The following is a 16238-nucleotide window of genomic DNA, read 5'->3' on the forward strand; positions in this document are numbered from 1 at the left end:
AGATTCAGTTTATTGTTATGGTTACTCATTATGTTTTTAAAACATGTAAAGTGTTATGAAAACTACAAAATAACTTATGATTTCAAGAATTCCAATTTTTTGCTCCTGAATCTCAAGCCAATAGATCTCTATGACATTCTTCATATCTGCTGGGTGAAAGGGAGCTTTTTTCACTCCTTATCTTCGCATTCAAAATTCCTATCTGTTTTAGAATAACAGCTCAGCTGAAAATGTCAGGTAGCCTGGGTATTAAATCACACATTTGTAAACCCAAAATACTTTTTACGTTTCTGTCTTCTTACATCCGTACCATTCATCTTTCTCCCCTTAATTTCTTCTTTTTCTCTCAACAAAATTTTTATTTATTTAACACATACATATTTAGCGAGTATTTATTGAGGACTCCTATTTTTCAGTAATGGTATTAGATACTGCCAATGAAAATATTAATAAAATATAGTTGCTGTTCTTAAGGATCTTACAGTCTAGAAGATGATTTTTTAATTTTGAGAAAATTTCAAATACAGAAAAGTACAAAAATAACAATACATTAATGCCATTCAATACCCACAACCCCCCAAATTGAACAAATTTTATATTTTCTTTTGTTTTTGGCCTTCCTAATTTATGAGGAATAAAGCATTATAAAGTTAACCAACTGATACGGTTTGGCTGTGTCTCCACCCAGATCTCATCTTGAATTGTAATCCCCATAATCCCCACATGTCAACGGAGAGACCCTGTGGGAGGTGATTGGACCATGTGGGCGGTTTCCCCCAGGCTGTTCTCATGATAGTGAGTGAGTTCTCAGGAGATCTGATGTTTTTATAAGTTTTTGACAGTTCCTCCTTCACACACTCACACTCTCCTGCCGCCTTGTGAAGAAGATGCCTGCTTCTTCTGCCATGATTATAAGTTTCCTGAGGCCTCCCCAGCTATGTGAAACTGTGAGTCAATTAAACTTACTTTGTTTATAAATTACCCAGTCTCAGGTAGTATCTTTGTAGCAGTGTGAGAATGGACTAATACACCAACCCTCTGCAAGTGCAACCTTCTATCATGAATTGGTGTGAATCATTTCAGTCCATTTGTAATACTTTTCTTGAATATATGTTCCCATTATATATAGGAATCATTCATGCATGTTTTTGTTTACAAAGATAGCATTGCTCTGTACCTAATCTTTATCACTTACCTTACCAGTTTGTCTTAAGCTATATCCATCCAAGTTTATTTTAGCAGCTGTATGCCATTTTATTGATTATACCATATCATTCTATGCATTTTACTGCTGATGGACATTTAGGTTTCTGCCATCTTTTGCCATTACAAAAAACAAAAAAAATTCAGCAGTGAACATCCATGAATCATTTCCTTATGCACGTGTGTAAAATTTTCTCTAGGGTAAATATCCAGAAGTAGAATTGCTAGATTATAGGAGGTATTCATTTTTAGTTAATATATACTGCCAAATTACTCTCCAAGGTGGTTGTTCCAAATCCTTTAATGAACATTTGTGGCATACCTTCTATATGCCAACATAGACTTAGACACTGGGACAGGAGGAGTAAGCACGGCAAAAATCCCTGCCCTTGTAGAGTTCACATTTTAGTGGACAAAAACAGTCAAACATAAGTACATAGTGTGTTAGAAGGTGATAAATATTATGAGTAAAAATAAAACGGAGAAAGGAGAATGAGGAAGGCTGAGAAGTTGGCATTTTAAAAAGAGTGGAGAGTAGGCCTCACTGAGAAGTTAACATCTTAGCAAAAACTTGAAGGATATCTTGTTTAAGTTCTCCAGGCAGAGGGAACAGCCAATGCAAAAGAGGAGATGCCTACCTAGTGTGTTTGAGTAACCTCAAGGACACCAGTGTGTCTGCAGTGGTGTGAGCTGCAGGGAGTAATGGTAGGAAATGAAGCTTGTAACAGGAACCAGGTTATGCTGGACCTTGGCCATTGTGAGGACCTTGGCTTTTAAATGGAATGAAATTGGAGCTGTTGGAGGGTATTGAGCAGAAGACTGACATGATATGACTTGTTTTAAAAGTGCATCCCTCTGACTGCAATGTTGAAAATATATCCTAAAAGTATGAAGGATGGAAGAAGAGGTGTGAAGTATGACTCTTAAGTTTGTGCAAAGTGACCCTGAAGATGAAATTGCCATCAGCTAAGATGAAAAAGATGGCAGGAGGAGCAGGTATCTGGGGAGAACCAGCAGTTCAGTTTTTAGTGTGTTTTTGAGATGTCTGTAAAGTGCTTCTCAGACTATCTGTTAAAGGGTTAGTTGACTTGGTTTTGTTTTCATTTCTTTCACAGACTAATAATTCTGTAAAATTACAACATAAATAAATTGCTAAAAGAATGAAATAAGGACGTTTGTAATACGAATCTCAATTTTGTTCATACATAACATAAAGTTACTGTGTCAATTTGCTAAAAAGTTTTTAAACACCCAATTTCAGTACTACTTTTATTGCAGCTGGGTAACAATTATTTCATAAACTAGTGGTCTAGTAGCAAATATTTCCTGGCTGGCATTGAAGGAAAGGCCAGGCTTTAGATAACTATGTATTAAACATCCAAGTGGAAATGTCTCGTAGACAGTTGGATACTCAAATCTACTTTTAATAGTCACCAAAGGACAGAAGTAATGTCTATACATTCATTTTGAACAGAATTTTGATTAATTCTGGTTCCACAGCTATTCATTGAGAATATGCCACATTTGAAGCACTATCTGGTTTTTCATGGCAATGCTATGAGGAAGGGACAGATTAAAATCTGTGGGCAATCTGGACAGGCTAGTAATTTGGTATCTGTTCATACTAATACCCCTTAAAAATGTGTTCACTGTTTTTCTAGTGGAAATAGGGAAAAACTGATTTTTGTTAATAAACATATATATTCTTTCTTTACATTTGAAACAACTTATTAAAAACACACTTTTCCAAACTAGACAACTTTTGGGGAGAGTGCTGAACTATTCAAAATATAAGTATCAGGCCGGGCACAGTGGCTCATGCCCATAATCCCATCACTTTGGGAAGCCAAGCCAGGCAGATCACTTGAGGTCAGGAGTTCAAGACCAGGCTGGCCAAAATGGTGAAACCCCATCTCTACTAAAAATACAAAAAAATTAGCTGGACGTGGTGGCACACACCTATAATCCCAGCTACTCAGGAGGCTGAGGCACAAGAATCGCTTGAACTTGGGAGGCTGAGGTTGCAGTGAGCCAAGATCATGCCACTGCTCTCCAGCCTGGGTGACAAAGCAAGACTCCATCTTGAAAAAATTAAATCAAAATGTAGGTATCAACGCAGGCTGAACTCAGGAATGGGAGTATTGCCTTTTGGTTGACCCTCATGATTGGTACTTTTACATGGCAAAATTTTTCAACATAGATTTTATTTCATATCTGAAGCTATTTGGTTGAGAGAAGAATACATTTATGTCTCTCCTGGCATGTAAAAATTTCCCTATGGAAACCCAAACTAACTGACAACCTATTCACAATTCACTACAGGGAAGTTTGGTATCTTTTGAAGAATGCCCCTTAGGGCAGCATTGGTTGCCCTCACCCTTAGTTGTTCAATGTGGTTGCTCTTGCCCTTTATCTGGCCTGGCTCTGATGAAAGCATTATCATCTCAAATTTTGCAGATGAGATTTAGAGAGTTTAATAACTTGTCTAATGCCACCTATGCAGAAAGTGACAAATTTAGGCTTCAACATAATTTCCTTACTTTAAATACAATATTTGAGTGACTTCACTTTAAAAAATATTTAAGTGCTCTAATGACAATAAAAATTATACATGTAGAACTGATATTCACTGGCTTTTAATGCTTTATGATATTGTAGGACTGTCACTACCATACAATGATTCTCCCACCACCAACTATTTCTGGGTGTAGAGAGTTAAGTCTCAGCCATACTGACAAGTAAGTCCACTCTGCTACCACATGGCCCTGTTTTTACCTCCACAGCTCTTGCTTTGGCCCTTCTGGAGATATCTACTGCCTGAAGACTGCAGATGAGTGCTAGAGCCCTGCCTTCTCTTATGGGAAGGACCAGCAATTCTGGAGCCACATGGGGCCTGTGTCCTCCTTAGTCCCCAGTAGACTCAAGCTATTCTGTGCAGTTAAGAATGCCTTTCTCCTGACTTTAATGTTGTATAGATCCTAATTTCTCATTGATGTTCTAGTCCATTTTTTTTTCTAGAATTGCCAAAATTGGCCCTTTCTTCCAACAGCTAAATCTTTGTCCCAGGGTCAGGCTTTTTTGTCTCTTTTTCTCCTTTCTGAAGCTGAGTACTCTTCAGATGATTCTCACTTCCTCATGCAATAGGTTGTGGTAGTTTCCCCAAGTGCTTGGAAAATATGTAGTAATCCCAGCAGTTTAGGGCTCAAACAAGAACATTTCTCCCTTCCAGACATAAAATAGGGTCCTCCACGCCTAGTTTCTGAGCTAACTTTTTAAAAAAATCCATAAAAAGAATGAGTCACTCACCAAAATAACTAGTAAAAATCTACCTCATATCAATTTATCAGATTGTCCTTTTGTAAACCCAATCTGAAACTTATCAAGATGTCCTTAAAGAATCAGAGAAATATTTTCAATTATGACTTCTTGACTCTTTAGATGTTCACTCAATCAATAAAACTAAAACTAATTTTTACATATCTTCAAGTTTCAGGGAAATTCAATTCAACCTCCCCTGGAAAAGCATGGACACATTCACTAGCTACCATGATGATATTTCATTTCTGACCACTCCCATGAAAGAACAGATGGTCAATCAATCATGAATTTGTAACATGAAGAAATTTCTAAACATTTCCAATTTAACTTTTAACTTTCTTGGTATTGTGACTTATGACTCATTCCATCAAATGGACATCCTCTTGGCATGTCTCTAAAGAAAAGATGACAGAAGGCCTTGGTGTCTCAGCCAGATCACAAGGTTATATAATTCTTACTTCCTTAAATCTGACCGTGAAGGATTATAATTTTTTTTAAGGAAAGCAAATTATTTGGAAAAATACAAAGAAGCTTCTGTTAGAGTTTCTTTTAGATTTACTTCCAAGAATAGTAAATCAATTACATAATTAAATATATGTTTTATTAAATACCTATGTCCAGCCGGCCATGGCGGCTCACATCTGTAATCCCAGCACTTTGGGACACCAAGGCTTGGGCCCAGAAGTTCAAGACCAGCCTGGGCAACATAGTGAGATCCCCACTCTAAACAACAATAACAAACCAAAATCTATGTTTGACATTATATCACAGTGTGATATAAAGGATATAAAGGAAATATAAAGTAATGAGACACCATCCCTGCCTTAAAGTCTAGAGGGGGAGACATCTATCTAAACAAGCTATTGCAACACAATGTAATACTTGCTATAATGGAAAAATAGAGGAAAGAGTGTCTAATTCTACCGAGTGCCTGTATGGCTGGACAGAGAAGGTGACATTTGAGTTGGGTCTTGAAAAATAAATAGTCATTTACCAAGTAATGAGGATGAAGAAAGGCATTACAGATGGAGGCAGAGGTAGAAGTGGTGGCACCTGGATGAGCAGACACACAGTTGTAACCCAGCACAGCACAGGGGACCAGTCAGGAGCTGTGTAACCAGAGCTCTGGCTCTCAACCTGAGACCCACACACTCCTGGACCTGCACAGCAGTATGTCAGGGGCTGTGCAAAACCACAGGATGAGCATGTCACAGTTGCCTAAGGTTTCTTTGTGTTTATTCAGTTTTCTGTCAATTTTAGTTAATAGTGGCTTTAGACATTTTTTTAAAAATTGAAACAAACACGAATCCATTGCAAAGCCAAATGCAAAAACTTCATAAATTCTTTATATGAAACAAATATGTCTCAGTTGCAGAAGTCTATTTCATGTTATAAACCTTCTTTCCATCAACCTACTACTCACTCCTGGCCCCTGTGATTTCCTGCTCCTTGGCTGTTAAGGGTCTTCAGTTAAGAAGCACTGGACTAAAATGTGGGTTGGGCTGGGGACAGAGGCAGGAAATGAGGTTAGAAAAATAACTAATTACCTTCCAGATTTATTTCCAGTGTCTTTCAGAACCCTGTTTATACAGGGTTTCATATGCCAGATTGAGCATATTTAAGCAGGGTGACGTCAGGATTCAAACTATGGAAAATTATGTGGCAACTTGGCAAATAAATTAGAGGGAAAGAGATAGAACAAGTCAAAAGACTATTGCTACCGTCTAGGTGAGAGATAAGGCATATCTGAAATAAGGCAGAGGCAGAGGATGGCTAAGAGAAAATGGATTATTTGAGAGACAATTAAGAAAGAAAAATGACAGAACTTAAATGATATGTTGACTGTGGGCAGTAGAAGAGGAGTCAAGGATGACTTTCAGATTTCGTTTTGCAACTGATGGACAATGATACTATTACCTAGGGTAGAAAATAAAGAAGGAAAAAAAGTTTCTGAAAGATAATGAGTTGACTTTGGCTCTGCTAAGTTGTGGTGCTATGGTCATTCATTCATTCACTACATTTAATCTTTATTTAGCATCTATTAAACAACATGAACTGAACTACACAGGTAGTTGGAAATGTCCAGTAGCTAGAGGAAATTCAGGTATGGAATTTAAGAGATATGTTAGGCTGAGAATGTAGAAATGGAAGTCCAGTGTGTTTAGTGGTGATGGCTGAAGCTAAGGGGAATATATGATGCCGACGCCACCAGGAGAGTGCGAAGAGTGACAAAAGAAGACTCAAGACTGAGCCCAGGGGAAAACGAATCTTCCACTTCCTGGGAGTGGACAAGCTGGAAAAAAGTTGTCAGAATGTTTAGATAATACCTCTTTTTTAGTTTTTTTCCTTCATAATTTGTATTGTAAAATTCATTTGAATTTTGTGAACACAAATTCTTCAGAAATTTGAAAGAATCTATATAATCTTTCTGCACATAACGTAAAAATCTTCATTCAGGATCCTTAAAGTCTCATATGTTATAAATGATTAGCCTCTTCTCAATTAAAGATTTTATTTAAATTGGGTGTAAAAATTAATTTAGACCAATTACAGAAGTCAATTACATTGCTTTATTAAATTCTGCCAGTTTACAAATTAGGAAGTTATTATTATTATTATTTTTTAAGACGGACCCTCGCTCTGTCGCCCAGGCTGGAGTGCAGTGGTGCGATCTTGGCTCCCAGGTTCAAGCGATTCTCCTGCCTCAGCCTTCTGAGTCGCTGGGACTTACAGGTGCACGCCACCACGCCTGGCTAATTTTTTTGTATTTTTAGTAGAGACGGGGTTTCACCGTGTTAGCCAGGATAGTCTCGATCTCCTGACCTCGTGATCTGCCTTCCTCAGCCTCCCAAAGTGCTGGGATTACAGGCATGAGCCACCGCAGCAGCCCCCTGAACTCTCATATGTTATAAATGATCAGCCTTTTCTCAATTAAAGATTTTATTTAAATTAGGTGTGAAAATTTATTTACACCAATTACAGCAGTCAATTACATTACTTTATTAAATTCTGCCACTTTACAAATTAGACAGTTATAATTATTTTTTAAGGGAAAGGAGGAGAACAGTGTTCAGAGAGTTGAGCGTCACTGTATGAATCCCACCGGACTCCTAATCACAGATAAAATGAACCTTGGGTTACTCACGGATTCAAGTTTCTTCCCCGGAGACTCATATTTACAGCTTGAGTCAAATTCTAAACAAAAGTTATTCTGGCAAGAAGGAAATGTAACCCATTAGGGTTCTGGGGCGCCCACGACAACCAGTGGGGCGCAGCTTCCTCTCCACTCCCTAGGAGGGCCCAGCTCGCTGCAGGGGGTGGGCAGGAAAGCTGCCCGAAAGGATTCTGAGCGGGCAGCCTCCTTAACATTTTCTCTCCTGGTTCCTAGGGTCCACACCCCAGAAAGATTCTTCTCTGGCTGAGATTGCGGTGGGTGTGAGGCATGGACCGAGCCTGTTAGACCTGGGGTCAGGCCGGGCCACTGTCATTAATATACTTAAGACACAAAACTCTTTCCTTGGTAGTGGAAAGCTGCTGGCCTCACCCGGTTCGCGTTGAGTGACGTCACATAGTGGCAACCAATCACAAGTCTGCTTTGAAAGATACTGTTAGGGAGCGGACACTGTATTGGTAGAGATGCTCTGTCAGTCTCGCAGAGGACTCGCCTCTTTTCTCTTAGCGACAGATGCGTCCTGGCAACAGTCGGCAGAGTTGCTGCGGTTTGTGCCCTTGCGATTTCTTTTTCTGAGAGAGGAGAGTCAAACTCCCACCTCCAGCTCTCGAAGGAGCTTTTCCTGAGGGCACTGCAAAGAGGCTCCTTTTCTTTCAGATCAGCAGTATCAGGTAAGAGAAGCTCTGAATGGGAAAGGCGGCTTGGAAAACAAGTATTTTACTCACTCTTTCAAGGGTATTTGAACACTCGCTGTGTCAGCAATGTGCTAGGCTAGTGGCAGTGAAGACTACAAAAAACACAAGTCTTTCCCTGCTTTCAAAGAGCTTCCAGCCTCGTGAGGGAAACAAAAATAGCAACGAGAGAGCAGTTAACGACACTCTAAGAACTTTAAGGGCATGTACTGTCTTGTTCCCATGTTATATATACCCAGTGACTATCATATTGCCTAGTACATAGTAGGAACTCAATAAACCATGAATGAGTCAGTTAATGAATGAATGAATGAATGAATGAATGAATGAATGCCAAAACAGCATGATTCTGATTATCCGTCTAGGGGCGGGGGTCAAACAATAAAAGATTAATGTGGGCTGAAATAGATTACTTCAGGACTGTTTAGAAAGGGCTAGAGTAGATAAACAGTGAGGAAGATGAACAGGGAACACAAACTCTTTGAAAGTAAGGACATTGTCTTATTCCCCTAGTGACTAGTTTACCCAGTACCTAATTGCTGCGCAATACTTTCTCCTTCTTCTTGTGTATGGTGAATGCTAAATGAATTCACAGCAATCTTTTAGGAAGCTCAGAGTTTGAAGCCCTCTGCCTTTGCAGAGGCCTGACATAAGTAATTACACATAGTATGACTGGAAAGTGTCAGGGAGAACAAGATTGTTTCAGCCTGAGTGAGGAAGTCAGGGAGGCTTTCGGCTTTGGGGGAAAAGTTCATAATTGCCTTGAATGATGAGAAAGATTGAAGCAAGCAGAGAGATGCCTGCATGGTGTGGACCAGGAGCAGCAGGAGGGGTGGGAGGGAAGGGGATTCTCCAGAGAGGGAGGTGGGAAAGTCCTCGACTGTTTGGGAATGAATGGAAACCGTGTGAGGCTGGAATAGAACTGGAAAGGTTGACGCAGTGAGGCACACTGTGAAAGTACTGAAGGCCATACTTATGTGAGTTCAGACTCTATTTTGTTTTGCAAAATCTGGTGTATAGACCACCAGTGCAAGACTGTCTCACAATGCTTTTAAAAATGCGGAGTCCCAGGCTCAACCCAGACCAGCAAAATCAAAGGAGGTCCAGGAAATTTGCATTTCAAATGAGCTCCATTTCTACAATCTGGAAGAGAATGCTACTGTGAATGATAGGGACCCATAAAAAGTCATTATACAGGGAAGAGACTTGATAAGAGATGCATTTTTGGAGAGCTCTGAGGTTGGCCTCTTGAGTAGTTGTTCTGGTTAGAACAGAGGCAGAGAGGCCAGTTAAGTGTCCATGATCTAGGGCAGAGGATTCAGGGAGGAGAATCTGTGGATTTTTTTAATTACATATTTATTTTCACTAACCACCAATTGAAATGTATTCAATTGGTAACAAACCACAGTAGTACTCACAGGCCTGTGACTTTGTTAGTAACTCTTTTCATATTACATTAAAGAGATTGTAAATATATTATTTATACTCATCATTACCTCACAATTAAGGTAGTTATTAGAACCACAGCTAGATTTTGTTATTTAACGTGTTAATAAAGTACAAATTATTTTATCATAATTTAAAAAATATTTTAATAACTATATTTCCATATAATCTGTCTTCTTTGTAATCCCATGTTTTTATTTGATGCATGGGCTTCACCAGGCTGCCAAAGGTTCATGGCACAAAACAGGGTTGGAGCTCCAGTTTTGGAGGACATGTTAAAGACCTGAACCAGAGGAGGCTGTGGGAGAGAAGGGCTTGGAATTCAGAAGATATTTGGAAGGGAGAAGTAATAGGATAGCATCTACTCAAATAAGTGAATATCCAATCTTGGAAAGAAGTGGAAATAGGTATGGAAGGAAGGAAACAAGAGTATAGACTAATAGACATTGTAGGAATAGTTGTCTCTAGGGGTGGATGTTGTATACTTGCCAAAATATGGCTGAAGGACCCAGGAGAATCTTGAAGTTTAATCAGGGTCTTAGTGAAGATTTACTGAGAATCAATAGTTCTTGCAGACGCATTTACCAGAGGCCCAAGATGTTAGTCTTGGGTTTTATTCTAAATCAATGTTTGTTTGTTTGTTTGTTTGTTTGTTTTAAAGATATCCCTGGAGAGGTACCTCACGTCTATAATTCCAGCATTTTGGGAGGCCGAGGCAGGAGGATTGCTTGAGGCCAGGAGTTCTAGACCAGCCTGGGCAACGAAGCCAGACCTCACCTCTTAAAAATAAAATAAAAAGCTGGGTGCAGTGACTCACGCCTGTAATCCCAGCACTTTGGGAGGCCGAGGCAGGCAGATCACCTGAGGTCAGGAGTTCAAGACCAGCCTGGCCAACATGGCAAAACCCCATCTCTACTAAAAAATAAAAAATTAGCTGGGCATGTTGGTGGACACCTGTAATCCCAGCTACTTGGGAGGCTGAGGCAGGAGAATCGCTTGAACCCGGGAGGCGGAGGTTGCAATGAGCTGAGATTACGCCATTGCACTCCAGCCTGGGTGACAGAGCAAGACTCTGTCTCAATTTAAATAAATAAATAAATGTAGAAAGATGGAAACAAGCATTATGAGCTTATAAATTATTTGGGAAGAGGAAAGAGGATGATGACCACCTAGATGAGGTCAGCTAATTGAAGAAGACCTGGGAAGATAAGACTTTCGTAAGGAAGAACCCAGTTAAAGAGAAGGTGCCAGTGCTACAAGTCCTTTCATAATCAAGATCTCTTGGCTGGGAATAAGCCACACATACACACAGGCAACAAATGAGAGCATGTAAACAGGTGTGTGCTATCAACCTAGATAGCAAGCAGAGAGGGGGACTCTCTAAAATAAAATGTTTATTTGAGAATAGGCATTAACAATGGGAAGATGCATGCGGTAGTAAACTATATGTATATTCAGGGAGATAAAAGGACACAAACGTTTTTAAAGGAAAAATGAGGAGGATTATGTCATTGTCTTCAGATAGTTATCCTTGGCTACAGAATCAGTGACAAGGGTGGCACCAGTCTGAGGTTGGACAGGCAGTTCCTGGGCAGATATCCTTGCAGAAGTATTTGTGTGTGTGTGTGTAGAGTGGCAATGGCCTTTATGCAAGTTTGTGATTCTGTATAGTCTTTTGTGATAGTTCTTGTTATCAGGCATTTGTGACATATACTCCCTTCATGGCCTTCCCTAGCTGTGTTTGTCTGAGTTTTTAACACAAGTGGCTCCATGCTGATTCTGACAACTTTCACAATGCATTGCATGAATAAAGTGAAGAGAGGAGATTAATAGCTGTTTAAATCACTGTATTATGACAATTTAATTTATGTTACTTATGCCTTCATCTATAGTAGTTCACCTCCTGAATAATAGAAGCATCATAAAAGGATATAGTCATGGGCAAGTTGGAGAGTTAGTTTGGAAGCAGATCGTAGACAGCTGTGAATGCAGGGTTCCTCGTAATCAAGTGGTGCACCATCACAGGTTTTGATCTGTTATGCAGGGGACTTACCCAATACACACTTTTGTCAACCTCTAATGTCTCTTGTTGTTAACGTAGAATCTAGAAAATGTGACCTTTGTGCATTGATGGCAAAAGGTGTTCTGAAATGGGTAAATTAATTTACAAAGAAAATAAGTAGTTTAAATATCAAGAATATTTTTAATAAAAATGCTTAAACATTTCTAAGTGTTACCTTCCAAAATTTCTATTTTGAAATACACTCAGCTCTAGTGGTTTGAAAACCAGTCAAAACACAAGCCACTGGGTTAGGCACAACATTGATTTTAGGAGTAGACGAATTATCTCTTCTGCTACTCTTTTTTTTTTTTTTTTTTTTTTTTTTGAGATGGAGTCTTGCTCTGTTGCCCAGGCTGGAGTGCAGTGGCATGACCTCGGCTCACTGCAAGCTCCGTCTGCCTCCTGAGTTCACACCATTCTCCTGTCTCAGCCTCCCGAGTAGCTGAGACTACAGGCGCCTGCCACCACGCCTGGATAATTTTTTTGTATTTTTAATAGAGACGGGGGTTTCACTGTGTTAGCCAGGATGGTCTTGATCTCCTGACCTCATGATCTGCCCGCCTCGGCCTCCCAAAGTTTTGGGATTACAGGCGTGAGCCACTGCACCTGGCCTCTTCTGCGACTCTTAATAATTACAAATTGATTTCAGCTGGGAACAGAAAAAATGTTATGCATATTTCAAAGTAAACTTAGACTAAAGTAGGATTGGATATTGAAAATTTTTTCATAAGCTTTTAATATGCAACTTAATAGAAAAAAGTTTGTTAAATATAACACATTTATGAAATATTCAATTAATTTTATGAAAAAAACTTCAGTAAGCCCTGCTATAATTTGAAAGTAATATCTTTGTTGGGGATTTGTTTTTAAAAAGAAAGATCTACATAAAAAATAAACCTTGAATAAATGTGTTTATTGAAATTATAAAAAGTGTATTATTCATTTGGTTTCGATACCCCCAATTAAAAGTTATTTATTTTCTAGACATAATGTTGGTAGGATTTTCATTATTTACAATTACTAAAATAAACTGCAAAATTTTGCCTGAAACTGAAATACAATATAAGGTGGCTACTCCCAAAGTAATCATTTTCCTTTCAGTTTAGACTATATTCACCGGGCTCTCTTCAGCTTATAAATGTTTCTATCGATGGTGCCTAGAAATGTAGATATTATGCTTTTTAGTGAAGAAGAATTAAGACCCCTAAAAGCCTTTAGAACAACCTGGTCACTAGTACCTGGTCACTAGTCACTCTGCCCTTAGTCACTAGTCAGTAATTTAGACAGAAGTCAATTAACATTTGTGAAAGTAGTAAATGAGCTGTTCAGGTAAGGCAGCTTGCATTAATGCACATTCCAATTTTGGTGCCTAATTTATTGCCAAAAATTTGACTTTGTTTTTCCCTGAAAACTGGAAACTCAAATTATCTACAGAGTATTTAATAGCAGCGTTTGAAAAGAACAGGACACTTGTTTACTTTGATTGTTTGGGGGATGATTGTAAACTGATACCTGTATTCAAGTTTAATTCTACGGCAGCACTTCTTAATTCCTGGAACCTGTGGATATGTTACCATATATGGCAAAGAAGTAAAGTCACAGATGAAATTAAGATCAGCGGAACTTAACATAGGGAGATTATCCTGGATTATCTAGGTAGGCCCAGTGTAGTCACAAGGGTCCTTAAAAGTGAAAGACAAAGAAGAGGTTAGAGTATGCTATGTGAGACTTAACTCTCCCTTCTGACTTTGAAGTTGGAGGTTGGGGGCCACAAACCAAGAAGTGCTGGTGGGCTCTAGAGATTGGAAAAGGCAAGAAAGCAGATTCTCTCTTAGAGGCTCTGGAAAGAAAGGAATGCAGCCCCACTGACTCTGGTTTAAGTCCAGTGAGACCTGTGTCAGATATCTGAACTACAAAGCTGTAAGATAATAGATTTGTGTAGTTTTAAGTCACAAAATTTGTGGTAATTTGTTACAGCATTAAGAGAAAACTAATACAGCATGACTATAGAGTATTCCACAGACCATTAGGTAGAAGCCTTTTGTTTAGACTGGAAATTCATAGGCTAAGCATGGCAGAAGGGAAGGAGGACCAAGGAGTTATTAATCTAACTTTTTTTTTTTTTTAGTATGTTCACTGTGCTAGTTACAGGGATTACAAAAATTGGAAAGAAAATACAATCCCCATGCTCACAGAGTTTATAGTCTAGTTTGCAGTCTAACTTCATATACCTTCAGTTGAACTCCTGAACTTCTCTTTCAAATCTGCTGTTCCCATGGGATCTCCATCTCAATAAATAGCAACTCCATGCTTTCAATTTCTTAGGCAAAATTCATTGATGTTATCCTTCTCATAAGCGATATGTTCAAGTCACCAGTGAATCTTATTGGGTCTACTTAACAAAAATACCCAGAATCCAGTCACTTTTCCCATATCACTTTCACCTGCCTGATCTAAGCACCCTCATCTCTCCCATGGATTTTTAAATGTCTCGCAGCTGGATTTCCTGCTTCAGCCTTTTCCTTGCTGCAGTCTTTTCTCAACACAGCAGTCATATTGATCCTTAAATTGTGGGACAGATGGAGTAAAGTAACTTCTCAGCTCAAAACCATCCAATAGCTCTCCACCTCATTCAGAGTGAAAGCCAAGGTCCTAATACACGACCTAGCCCCCCTTGTGGTATATTATATAGCTGTTTCCAATTATATCATTCCCAGCCACTACCTCCCGTACCTGTAAGAGGATCATACATTCCCACCTTCTGCCAATCAGGCAGAGAATCCCTCCCCCATTATCAGGATTGACTTACTTGCTTAGGCCAATAGAATGTGAACAGGAGGCACAACATGTCAGTGCCAAGGAGAAAGTTAGGAAGCATTATGTAGTTCCATTAGCTCTCTTGCTTTTTTCTCTGCTGTGAAAGTGGTATGTGTGAAATAAGGCCTGCTTCTTCAGCCTGGATCCCGGAATAAGAAGACTTGCAGCAGCTCATCCACACCACAGTGCATAGCATGAGAAGAAATAAATGTTTGTTACCGTATGTCACTGAGATGTAGGGGTCATTTGTTACTGCAGCAAAGCTGACTAATATATCCCTGTCACCTTTCTGACCAGCTTTGCCTGTAGTCTTTCCCTGACTCTGCTCCAGCCATCATGACCTTCTTGCTGTTTTCTTAAATATGCCAGGCATGATCCTTCCCCAGAACCTTTAAACATACTGTTCCCTCCACCTGAAAATACTCTTCCTCTCCCAGATATCTGTGTTTCTTGCTTTCTCCTTTTTCAGATCTTTGTTCCAATGTCCAGTTCCTTTTCTTACCTTATTTTTCTCCTTAGTAGTTCTTAAAATACTAGTTATATTTTCCTCCTTTATTTGTTTATTTGTTCTGTCTTCCCCTAGAATGTGAGCTTGCACAAGGGGTTTTGCCTATTTTGTTCACTGCTGTATCCCTAACACCTAGGATAGCATCTGGTGCAGCATAGTCACTCAATATATATATGTGGAATAAATAGTGGTGGTGGTGATGGTGTGTGCGTGGGGTGAGGCTAAGTGGTGTGAAGAGTTTTTCACCATGTTGGCCAGGTTGATCTCGAACTCCTGACCTCGCGATCCACCCACCTCGGCCTCCCAAAATGCTGGGATTACAGCCATGAGCGTGCCACATACTCCAGCCTGGGCGACAGAGCAAGACTCTGTCTTGGGGAAAAAAAGAAAGTTTTTCAAGTATTTTACATCAAACTAAAATGCAGCTGGGATAGCATATGGAGAAGGGGTACATTGATAAGGAATCTTCTGAAAAAAAGGAATAGATGAAAGATTTGAAATTATGCTAAGACTGGGAAGTGATATGGAGGACATTTGACAGTCTAAAGAGTTGAGTCAGATCCATTCATTGCAGAATATCTTAAAAATAGAAATTGTCAGAATCATAAAATATTGATTAGATAATAAAATCCTGCTTTTTAGCTGGGCGCGGTGGCTCATGCCTGTAATCCCAGCACTTTGGGAGGCCGAGGCGGGTGGATCACCAGGTCAGGAGTTCGAGACCAGCCTGGCCAATATGGTGAAGCCCCGTCTCTACTAAAAATACAAAAATTAGCCGGGCGTGCTGGCGTGCACCTGTAGTCCCAGCTACTTGGGAGGCTGAGGCAGGAGAATCGCTTGAACCTGGGAAGCGGAGGTTGCGGTGAGCTGAGACCGCGCCACTGCACTCCAGCCTGGGCAACAGAGTGAAACTCTGTCTCAAAAAAAATAAAATAAAATAAAAATTCCTGCCTTCCTAGGTAAAGTCAATGATTTAAAATAGTTTCATTTGCAATGAAACACAGCAGTTATCATTGAAAT

At 39.5% G+C, this 16238-nt stretch overlaps 1 protein-coding gene across 3 annotated transcripts in view, besides 1 other annotated feature; it reads left to right on the top strand.

The window, feature by feature from the left end:
• Positions 7840-8340: an enhancer, noted in NCBI's record as "H3K4me1 hESC enhancer chr1:85527645-85528145 (GRCh37/hg19 assembly coordinates)". NCBI's record gives its function as "activates a minimal SCP1, AML or CMV promoter by ChIP-STARR-seq in primed H9 embryonic stem cells {active_cell/tissue: H9 hESC(primed)}" and the evidence as "EXISTENCE:reporter gene assay evidence [ECO:0000049][PMID:30033119]".
• DNAI3 (dynein axonemal intermediate chain 3) overlaps positions 8205-16238 on the top strand; it is a 70812-nt gene continuing 62778 nt past the window's right edge. For all 3 annotated transcript variants that reach the window (NM_145172.5, NM_001288563.2, XM_047444741.1), the window contains exon 1: positions 8205-8364. The gene's annotated coding sequence lies outside the window, so the exon portion shown is untranslated. The remainder of the gene's footprint in view (positions 8365-16238) is intronic.

This window comes from Homo sapiens, chromosome 1 (genome assembly GCF_000001405.40).
Source record: "Homo sapiens chromosome 1, GRCh38.p14 Primary Assembly".
Taxonomy (NCBI): Eukaryota; Metazoa; Chordata; class Mammalia; order Primates; family Hominidae; genus Homo; species Homo sapiens.